This window comes from Homo sapiens, chromosome 10, assembly GCF_000001405.40.
Source record: "Homo sapiens chromosome 10, GRCh38.p14 Primary Assembly".
In the NCBI taxonomy this organism is placed as follows: Eukaryota; Metazoa; Chordata; class Mammalia; order Primates; family Hominidae; genus Homo; species Homo sapiens.
This window is the reverse complement of record NC_000010.11, coordinates 105,141,980-105,153,954: the sequence shown is the minus strand read 5'-3', so window position 1 is coordinate 105,153,954 and position 11,975 is coordinate 105,141,980. Positions and strand designations below refer to the sequence as shown.

Below are 11,975 nucleotides of genomic sequence, written 5' to 3'. Positions count from 1 at the left end.
GGGATTATAGGTGACTGTCACTATGCCCAGTTATTTTTTTGTATTTTTAGTAGAGATGGGGTTTCACCATGTTGGCCAGGCTGGTCTCAAAATCCTGACCTCATGATTCGCCCGCCTGGGTCTCCCAAAGTGCTGGGATTACAGGTGTGAGCCACCGCGCCCAGCCTCGAAGTTTCATTTTATCCATCCAGGTATACTGGGTCCAGTTATTTAGTCACTGAAGAAAAGCAAATCACACCTGCGATGAGTTACCACTAAATCCCCATCGGAACAGCTACAAACACACACACACACACACACACACACACATACACACACACTCTCTCTCTCTCTCCTCTCTCTCTGTCAAACCAAGCAAGTGTTGCTGAAGATATGAAGCAACTGCTACTCTCATACCTTGCTGGTGGAAATGCAAAATCCCACAGCCACTTTTGGAATAATTTGGTGGCTTCTTATAAACATATACTTACATTCAACTCAGCAATCCTACTCCTAAGTATTTACCCATGAGAAATAAAAATTTATGGTCAAGAGAATGTTTATAGATATTTTATTCATAATCACACAAAATTTTAAAAAGTAACCTAAATGGTCTTCAGCTGGTGATTGAAAAACAACCTCTGTCACATCACACAACAGAATGCTGCTCAGAAACAGAAGGAACCAATATATTCAACAATGTGGGTGAATCTCAAATGCATTATTCTAAGCAAAAAAAAGTCAGACTGAAAAGGTTACCTACTGTATAATTCCATTTACTCACCCTCTAGGAAAGGCAAAACTAAAGACAAAGAGAGGGCAGGTATGTGTTTGTCGGTGACTTTGGGGTAGAGAAGGGTGGACTACAAAAGGGCAATAAGGGAATATTTGGGGTAATGGAACTGTTCTATGTCTTGATTGTGATTTGTGCACAATTTACACACCAGAATGCACAAATCAAAACTCACAGAACTTATACTAAAAGGGTAAATTTTACTATACATAAATTATACCTCCATAAAAATGCAAAAAAAAATTAATAGTGAGAAAAGCCTAAGTGGTTTGTCAAGCAGACGTGGATTTCTTGAAAATGTAGCACCACTAGCTGTGTGATCAGAGCCAAGCCACTAAATTCTCTGCATCTCTGTAATCTCACAGGCACAATGAAGAATGTGATATTGTGAGAGATAAATAAGAAAAAAATATATAAGTTGTTTACGACTGTGCAATCCAAAACAGTAGCCACTGGCCACATATGGCTTGAAATGTGGCTACGGGAACGAAGAAACTAATTTTTAATTTTATTTCATTTTAACCCATAGAAATTTGAATTGAAGAACTGATACCCATTTCAGTTATTGGCAAACTTTTAAGTTTGTTGAGAATAACTTGGGTATGTGAATCTTCTTTTTTTACTGTAAATTTATGAAATGTTAAATACCGATCAAGTATTTCTGGTGAAAATTTAGCATATAAATTGAGATTCATGGGACATGTAAAATACATCCAGGATTTTGCAGACTTATTATGAAAATTAGTATGGAAAAATATAAAATAACTAAATAATTGTTTACATTGAACGTATACTGAAATGACATTTTAGATACTTTGTTTAAATAAAAAATATTATTAAAATTAATTTTGTCTGTTTGTTTTTTACTTTATAAAATGTGGGAAGCAGAAATGTGGAAGTGTGTATGTAGCTCACCTTATGTATGTATTTGACAGTGCTGGTCTAAAGCATTGCCAGGTATGCTGTGGTTATTATTGTAAGGAGTTATAAGTTAGATGCAAAATATCCAGGAGAGCATTGAAGAAAATGTATCACACCGGCAGCTCAGAGAATGCTGCCATAGTATAACTGCGGGTGTTGGAAAGAATATTTGTTTCTTGATTTATTAGGGAGAGTAATTAAAAAGAAATGTAGTTTATAGCTGGGGATGTGAAGACACTGCAATAGAGCTCTATATGAAAAGAGTGTTACGAGAATAATGGTAAGTACACACAATAGGCTACATTCGCTGTCAATACCAGCCTTGTTTTGAAGGAGTCGGCTTGACATCTCAAAGAAGAGATAGATTATTACTTGGCCTTCAAGTGTTATTTTCTCCCCTAATTATGTAATTATAGTCATGACAACATTGTACTTTGAAGCAGGAATTTGAGAAAGAACAAGCAGGAGAATCTCTCTACAGCAGGAGACAACTCCAACAGATTTGAAATGGAAATTATCTCAGCCTTGTTAGATTTTGGGGAGTTCAGTGGGGTTGATCTCCATTGGTCCAAGGATTTTTCAGTGCCAAGGCTTGCAAGGGGAATTTCCAAATAAGTTCTTGCTTTCTTTGTCTCCTCTCCATTACCAAGAAGAAGCTTCAGAGGTCCATGCAGAAGATGGAGTGATATACCTGTGGCTTAAGTGGGCAAGGTCAGCCCAAGCTACCTGATATCTGAAAATTACCTAAAGACATCTCTGAACCTTTGAGTCAAGGGGAAACAGGTGTAATGTCCTATTCTAATATAAAGTTACAAATTAACCTGGCACAAGGGACTACATCACACGTGCGAATATTTTCTGGGTATGTAAATATGAGGGGAAAAAAGATAAAGAAATACTAGCCCATAGCATAAATGCCTGAATCTTCAGTCAGCTTTTTACCAGTATATTTACAATCTTCATCCCCACTGCTCCACAAGGCCACTCAACATTTCATAAAATAGGATCCCTACTCATTCGACTCTGGTTCTCTTCTTATTTCCAACAATTTGTCTATAATTAAGCCAAACTCATCTATAAGTCTCTCCAAATTACTCAAGTTAGAATTATTCTTTTGTAACTCCACAACCTGGTGGAATCACACCTCTAATACAAGTTAGACTGTGATAATTACCCTAATAGAGTCACTTGTATCATTCCAGTAATTATGAATCTCATGCACCAGTCCTAACATCATCAAACAAAATACACTCCATAAAAGTGTGCTAATTTAGCTGAATTGAATGTGAAAACTTACTGTTTTTCTCAGTTGCATTACTCAAGGGCACTTGGAGTCCAGAAAAGTTGTAGTCTCTTTGCTAACTGGCCGTATGGTACATAATCACAGTTTCTGTGAGAATTTCCAGTAAAGAAGGTTAAATTCTAATGACCCCTAGAGACCAATTAAATTGAGCTTTATCTCCAAACCACAGAATGTATCTCCAGGTGCAAAACAGCATTACCCTCTAAAAATCTTCAGTATGGTCATGGTCTAGATAACATCAGGTTCCAATTTATTCACTTGGTATTACATGTTTTCTAGAATCTGAAATTCAGCTATTTATCCAGCCCTCATTCTTGTCCCTGACAAGCATTTATTCCACACAATTAGCCTGGCTAGCTTACTTTCTCACAAATCAGCACCATCCATTCAGTCCTTGGCTCATTCCATTCCTACGTTTGGAATGCCTCCTTCTTCTTCACTATTTCCTCCCCAGGGCAAAAGGACTGACAGTCAGAGTGGTAACGTTGAAAAGAAGAACTGCGCATGTACAGCTCATCCCCATACCCCTGCCCCTCTTTTAAGGATCTGCCTGCACAGATCACATCCTTTTTACATCAGTGCTGCGGTGTCATAGGAACAGGCTTCCATAAGACAGTCTTTGATTTATCATTTCTGTCTGGGACTGAATGGATGAATTCAATTCTGGGGTACAGCATTATCAATCCCACTTCCTTGTGCATAATTTTTAAAAGCAATAAAGCTGTGTTTGATATCCATTTGTCTTGCCCTTTGTTGCTGTCCTAATCGGTTCCAGCATTGACCAGGTAAATAAGGAACTTTGTTTATTGACCCCCTCAAAACCCAACAAACTAGATTGCAAACTCTCTGAAGGTAAAAACTAAGTCATAACTCTCCTGCCTTCCTCATGGGCTTGAACACAAAGCAGGGGTGCGATCAATCCTGCTAAAATTGAATGGAAAACAAGATCAAGAAAGCTGTTTTATTTTTAAAGTTGCCCTGTCTGTTATGTCTTCTCTATAGATGCAGTGACACCATGCATTTTTTTCTTCAATAAGACTGAAAACACAAGACCAACTTAAGTGGAAAGAAAAAAATTGCATGGATCTGGGCACATTCTTCATTTTGATTCATGCCTCATTCCATATCACTGTGTCACACTGTTGTAAATGACCAAGGAGTTTCAGGCACCCCTTCTTAGAATAAGAGAAGCATAGTGGCAAACTCACCCACTGTACCAAGAGGATCAGAGACACAAGAATTTCTTGACTGCAAGGTCATCTGCAGCAATGCCCACCCACCCCTATTTGGGTCTGATCACAGGGACATGAATCACAGTCTTATCTCTATGGCTTTACTTGTACAAACAGGAACTTGGAATGGCCTCAGTCCTGGGAACATTAATCCAAACCCTCAAACAAGATGTGACTTATTGTCCAATAACAAAGTTATATTTCTGCCTCCTGGTATGATTAGAGGCATAGAAATGTAAGCTTCCCAAAGGTATTTACTCCCCTTAGTCATCTCTACTAGTCTCCACACCTCTGTAAAACAATCTGGAACATTTCCAAAACTGGGACCTTGTTGTTTAAGGGAATTATTTCAGCACTTGTCAGTTACTCTCTAGGAAATCAGGGTATTTCTACGATTTTGTTTTCTACCGAATGACATTCACTCCTTCTTTTAAAATGTACATTCATTTGCCCCATGCCTTTATGTTATCATCTCTCTGCCTAACAGAACAGGTGCAATCTTAAATATTTCTGCCACTCTCAGTGTATTAGTCCATTCTCACACTGCTACAAAGATACTATGAGACTGGGTGATTCATGAAGAAAAGAGGTTTGATTGACTCACAGTTCCGCATGGCTGGGAAAGTCTCAGGAAACTTACAATCACAGTGGAAAGCAAATGGGAAGCAAGGTATGTCTTACATAGTGGCAGGAGAGAGAGAGGAAGTGAGGAAGTTCCACACTTTAAAACCATCAGCTCTTGTGAGAACTCACTCACTATCATGAGAACAGTATGTGAAAACTACCCCTATGATCCAATCACCTCCCACTAGGTCCCTCCCTCAACACGTGGGGACTACAATTCCAGATGGGATTTGGGTAGGGACACAGAACCAAACCTTATCACTCAGTAACTGAGTAGCCAACTTAGATACCAATTTAGGGCTGCTGGGATTTTGACAGGCACTGCTTAGAGGAGACCACTATAAAGTAGAAACCCATGCATGTAGCCACTCCCACTCCTCAATAGGAAAACCCACAAGGGAACAGCTCACCCAGCTCTGAGGCCACCACCCAGAATAGACAACGTATCTCTTTCTGTGAATGATCTCAACCATCACAGTCTGTATGGGTGTGGCCACTGGTTACTGGTGAATATTGGATAATGAGACACACCTTCATTGCTCAACTCAATCCTCCATATCCAGGTGGTCAGTCAAGTTCCTTCACTGGGTCCAGGACTGTCAAAGGTCACATACTGTCACTATAAAAGGTACCACATCTTTTAGGTCACTGAAAATAGTTTCTTTTTTTCTCTCTTTCTCTCTACAGTTACTACATGGAGTCACTTGGTTTCTTAGTAAATTATTCTTTAATTAGTTATCACACTTTTTAACAAGCTTAATATAAGTGACACACTTATGTCAAGGCCAGTTTTTTACCCTGCATAGATGTCGGCATCTGGTGGAATCTTAGAAAAACTCTCATTCCCACCACTGATATTCGCTTTTATTTTCCCATAAAATTTGTTCATAAAACAGGACTTTCCAAATAATTTAAGGCACATAAGTAGCACCACTCCCTCCATTCAGGGTCCACAAAAGCAACACAGAGTTTACAAAGCTACTTAAAAAATCACCTAGGCCAAATACCTTAATTTCTGTCTAGTAATCAATTGTTTATACATACAAGAATACTAACTTTGTTGAGTCAGCCACTACACTAGATGCAGTATATCCATCATCTCTCATCTCACAATAATCTCCTTGGTAAATATTTTATCTCTATTTTACTAGAATTGAGGCATATAGAAGTCCCTTGCCCAAAGTCATACAATTGCTAAGTGGTACAGCTGGAATCTGAACCCAGAACTCCAGTGCTTGTGTTTATACCATTAAAACTCAGGAAAAAGAGAGACAGACCCAAGGGAAGGAGAATTTTGGCTACATACCTCATACAATTCAATAATGATGTTCCCCATTAGACCTCTGCTGCTCTTGATGTTCTCCATGGCCAGAGTGAAGTAAATCCCACGCGTGTCTGAGATGTAGAGGTTGTACGTGTCGTTCTGGTTCCATTCTTGGACCGCAGCAAATACTTGGTTCTCGTCTGTACTGATGATGTGCATGTCCTGAAAGAAGATGGAAGGCTTGTAAGGCAGCAGATCTCCATATCTCTCTGCCCATTGGGATGCCAAGTAATTACTATGACTTATGAAATTGCTGAGAAAAAGCTTGAGTTATAGGCAATGTTAAACAATTCCATGTTGAACCAAGGCTATAAATTATAAGCTTCATGATTTCTGTTCCTTGCTAAGTGACAGCAAAATGGGTGTTAGGGGCTTTGGTTGATATCATTTCCCATGGCTTTCAAGGATTCATCTACTTTCATTTTTTATTGTTATACCTAAAATTTAAGAGTTAGTGCCAACAGAGACAGACACCCTTGCTAAAGGAAGCTCACACATGCAATGAAGACAGAGCCTATCTTGTCATTAGATATTCATTTATGTTTTTAAATTCTGTAGTATGGTGGTTTACACAGTTTTCTTTAAAATCTTCAGAGTCATGAGGATTGCCAGAAATGTGGCATGGAGGTATAACCAATGAGTGGGGCTCTAGACCTGCAATCCTGTTTCAATCAGAGCAGAAAATATTTGCATCTGTTGTATACAGTGGAATTCTGTGTAATATTTTAGGAGCAAAAGGTAAGGGAGGTTCTGCTGCCAATGAAATTATGTTGAAGATCACTGATATAGAGAAAAGGATACTCAACCTGGAATTTAATGTTCTGGGTCAAAATACAAGCACTGCTGTGAGTAAGCTGCATGATGCTGAATGTGTCAGTTTCTCTGAACTTCAATTTTCTCACCTAGTGAAGAGGTTGGATTTCTTTGGGGACTATTCTAAGCCATCTAAATGTATTTTTTCAATTAAAAATGAAAATAATTTTGTGAGGGAGGTGGTATGATTATTCCCATTTTACTGAAGAGCAAACTCAGGCACACAGAAGTTTATCAATCTGTTTCAGATTATATGGCTATCAAATGGCAGAACCAGCTTTTAAACCTCTGTGGTCTGACTCCAACATAATGGATGGTTTCCAGTCACTGGATATATCACCTCTAGATTAGAGATTTCAAACTGATGACTCATGAAGTAAATATGAATCACAAATGTTTAGCTTGGCCATATTCTGTACCAAAAACCAGAGTCTCTGGTCTTTCAGATGGAGTCAGGACCCCAAGTTAGGGTCTCAGCCCTCTATATCCATATGTTCTTACGGTCCGCCACTTACATACTGATGTTAACTTCCTGGGTCCTGACATCACTTTAGTTTTAATCCCGGACTGGATCATTTTTATTTTTTTAATTAAAAAAAAATTTAAAGACAGGGTCTTGCTCTGTCTGGATCATTTCTAAAATCACACCTAGTAGTTTACAATGCCAAGTAATTTATAGAAGCCCATTTGCCTGTGTAGGTAGGCACTGTACAAAGATTATCACAAATTTAAGCCCTTACCTAGAGAACTTACACAGTCAGGAGGACATGGATAATCATTTGCCAAAAAATGGAAGGAGTTAAAAACTGCATAAACATACTGGTGTATATGCCAAAGAGTAATAGATAGCAGAAGGAAAGGCAACCGTGTTGCTGTGATGGAAAGCACTGGTAAAAGGATGATGGGGGAGTGGAGTTGACTGTAACTTAATAATCAGGCAGGGTCTAGCCTTTACTGTGTTTGACCAACCTTTCCTAGAAACCGTTTCAAGTAAAAAGAAACAGCAATGTCTGTAATGTCAGCACCACAGAGAGCTCCTCCAAGATGATTTATAAAGGAGTAAACCCATTTGATTTGGACAACCTGGAGATGAGAGAAGTAGAAAAGCAAGTTCTGGATCTTTTTATTGAAGATTCTTTGTCAAATCTCAGCCTCTGGCCTTGAACTGTCTGGGTCACCTTGACTAAGACCTCACTTGCTCATTTGTGCTTACACACCTTGTAGAATTACAGGTTCCTGCTGAGCTGCTTGAAAATGGGAAAAAAAGCTTACTCTTAAAAACCGTGTGATGAAGTCGTGTTGTGTTGGTGTGGAATGAATGCCGAAGAACCCAGTAGGAGGGGAAATCACAGCTGCAGGAAATACGAATTAAATTCACTTACCCTGTTAAAATGCAACAGAAATGCCTGGTTTTTCCCAGATGTTTTGGTCATAAAAATGAATGAGCTAAGTTATTTTAGACTAAACTAATGTAAAAGAAATGGGAAAAGAACAACTTAAAACACCAGGGCATGGTCAGGATTAGAGGCAGCCAGGTTTGCTGTGAGTGCATATTAGGTTAATGCTTTCCCGGGGCTGTGTCACCTGGTGAACAAGTGCTCCAGGCTCTGGAGTAAGATTGCTCTCTGGTATCCAGGATTCTGAGATATCTGTTTGATAATTCCTTAATTTGCCAAAGCTAATAAATAACATTACTAAGATATAAACCTACAATTTTATCTTAATTTAAACCTAATCTTAACCAAGAAGCTAACTTCTAAACACTGTATCAGTGGGGATATAACTTTGGTGTGCATCAAAATGACCTATCAATCTTAATAGCATGCAGACTTGTGCTAAGAACATTAACCTAAAATGCACATACAGCAAACCTGGCTGCCTCTAATCCTGACCACCGCCTGAAATTATAATTCAGTATGTCTGGAGTAGACCCTTAGATTCTTCCATCTGAACAAGCCCTCCAGATGATTCTGGTGCATCTAAGTCCAGGGAATCACTTTTTGAAACACTCTGAAATATATAACCTTTGTCTAAATAGGTCTTTATGGTTGAATGGGGTCAACCAATAATAACTAGAACATTCAGTCTTCAAGAAAAAGAAAAGCATAATTAGCTAAAATTGGTCCAATAGAGACCTGAACAATAATGAAGCTTATTTCTTAAACTGAGTTACCTCAGTTTAGCTCCATAGCATATGTCATTGCCTTACTTGTTGGTCCTGAGAACATGCAGGGAAATCTTTGGTGTTAAAGAGAGAAATCCAAGGAGGGAAAATGCAATAAGAGTAAATTTAGACTGGGACTTTACTAAACTTGGAACTTGAAAAGCATCAGACATAATCACATACATATTTATATTTGGAAAGCAATTATAAATAACATTCCATGTCTGCCCTGCCAAGACAATAATTTGGGAGAGTTATGATTGCTTTTGAAAACTAAAACCTGTGACTTCCTAGGTGAACAATGGTGAAAATACTTCACTGATGTTGAAACATTTTCTTATAATCTAGGCCTAATGTAACTTTATTCATTATATAAATACCCATGTTATTAAGCATCTGCCATGTGTCAGACAACGGAAATAGAGAAAAAGCAAAACCTGCCCTCAAGAAGTTGTCTTCTGATGGTGGAGACATCACATACTCTAGTGGCCTTTCTCAAATTTGACTAAGTGCTATGATAGAGGTGCTAAAAATGGTGACTGGAGTACAAATGCTTAGAGGTGACAATGAGGATGGAACAGTCAAGGAAATGTGTGGGAATCTGTATCGCATAAAAGCAGTTTCCCTCTGAAGGAGGTGAGGCAGACAGTGGGTAACATCATAAGGGGTGCTATGGCACACCTAAGTTTTGCCCAAAGAATAGCACAAAATTATCACAAGATTTTAAGCAAGAGAAAGGCATGATTAGAATTGATATATACAGAGATTTAGTTAGAGAGGATAGGGATCCTTGCATGATCAAATTAATTGCGGAAGCATTGTGAAGAGAAGACTTAAGAGGGGCAATGCTAGAGGCAGGGAGAAAGGCTTAAAAGGTCCCAGCAACAGTTCAGATAATAACTCAGGAGGGCCTGAACCAAGGAAGCCGGTTCTCCATGAGGTTCCCAGGAGACAGACTGGTGAGATAGTAAGGAGGTAAAATCTACAGCGGGAGAAGGGAGTAGGACAAATATATAATGCCTCAGATAACGTGATTTATGAAACTCCTCTTTTCCTTTATAGCACTCATTACAATTATAATTAAATAGTCTCTTATGTAATTATTTGTTTGATGTCTGTCTCTTTCATTAGAAGATCCCAAAGAGCATAAACTATGTTCTCTGATGTATCACTTTATCTCTAATACTCACCAGAGTATCTGGCACATGGTAGACATCCAACAAAAGACTATTGAAGAAACAAATGGAGTATATAAGTAAACATAGTTGAAAGATGGGATATAAGAACTATAAAGTGCAGACTAGAAGCTTAGTTTACAACCTTGGTTAAATGGGATATCTTTAAGAGGATCTACATCAAATAGGCAGTTGGATATGTGGTCTAGAGTTCAATGGAGAGATATGGGCTGGGGTTGTAGATATAGGAGTCACCACTATTGAAAAAAAGTGAAGGATGAAGTCACCTAGGAGCCATGCAGAATACAAGAACAACTTAGGAACACCAACATTTAGAGAGTGGTAAGAAGGGGATCCACAAAAACAAATCATAAAAAAAAACTACCAAAGGGAAGAGTATCAAGTATGGATTATTTTCATCAGTATCAAATGTTCCAGAATGGTGAAAAGCAATAAAGATGTAGAGGCATCTATTTGATTTGGCATGCAGGTGGCCACTGTAGCAATGGCTAGGATTTTTAGTGAAATAGTGGATAGATGGATGTACAGGCAAAGAATATACAGCAGCAGGTTGAAGAGAGAATAGGGAGTAAGAAAAGAGATTAGAATTACAGATAACTCTTTTGAGAAGTGTGGCCGTGACACAGCAGTGAAGGATAAATCAGTATTTGGGGAAATGTAAAAACTAAGGAAACAAAAGGTTAATATCATTGTTATTATCATTATAATGAATTTTCTAAGACATATTTCCCTTTCCTCTCTTTTATTATTCAAAACAGAATTAACCATATTCTACTGTCAAATAAAAAATGAACCCAGACTTAGGTAAGAGGAGATTTTATTTGAAACGACTTGCAATACCTGCAAGCACCTTGAAGTGAAGGCAGAAAAGAATGACTTTTATGGGAAAAAGTAAAAAAAAACTAGAAATAACTGGGTGTGAAAAGTAGGGTGTGCAGGTGGCATGATCGAGCAATTGAACAGGAAATTTTCTTTGGGGTCAGCTGATTCTCAGAAGGGCTGTTAAGGGGGGCTGTTCCTCATTGCCATGCTTGCTTCAGCTCCCATTGGTTACACAAGCTCAAGAGTGGGTCAAAGTTCAGGGGCTTGAGGAAAGAGAAAAGCTGGTTTTAAGTTTGAGCAAGTCAAATTAGCAGGCATTTTGTCCAGATTGGCCAGCAGGACAACATTTTAGCAAATCACGTATGAGAAAAAGAATGGGAATCTGGTCTTATAGGTAAACAAGACAGACGTCTGAATCTTGTCAAGTCATATGGAGAGAGGGGGTCTGCAATAAGCCATTTCCCAAACACAAAAGGGTGCAGAATTTCTTAACCTTGGCTCTTTTCCAGGAGCACAAGGCTCAGGCAAAGATCAACATTTTTACTTTCAACCTGAATCCCATACAGAAAGAAACAAAAATATTTTCTCTTGTAGAAACAATTTATTAGAGTAGTAAGTTAAGAATAAATCCAGAATCTAAGAGACAAAAGAGGGTATATCAGGCTCAGCGTGGTAAAGTGAGGGTTTAAGGCAATATTGAGTCCAAGGCCAGTCTGGAATGTGATCCCATTATGAACACTGATCTCCATGTAGGACAGGTTAAGAGCCTCAGTATTATTACCCCCAGACCAAAACCATTCCTTA

The 11,975-nt window shown here is 38.5% G+C and overlaps 1 protein-coding gene across 2 annotated transcripts in view; it reads right to left on the bottom strand.

Moving 5' to 3' along the window:
* Window positions 1-11,975, bottom strand: part of SORCS3 (sortilin related VPS10 domain containing receptor 3) — a 623,953-nt gene that overhangs the window by 111,288 nt on the left and 500,690 nt on the right. For both annotated transcript variants that reach the window (NM_014978.3, XM_011539542.2), the window contains one exon: window positions 6,159-6,338. In NM_014978.3, the coding sequence (NP_055793.1) occupies window positions 6,159-6,338 (180 nt within the window). The remainder of the gene's footprint in view (window positions 1-6,158; window positions 6,339-11,975) is intronic.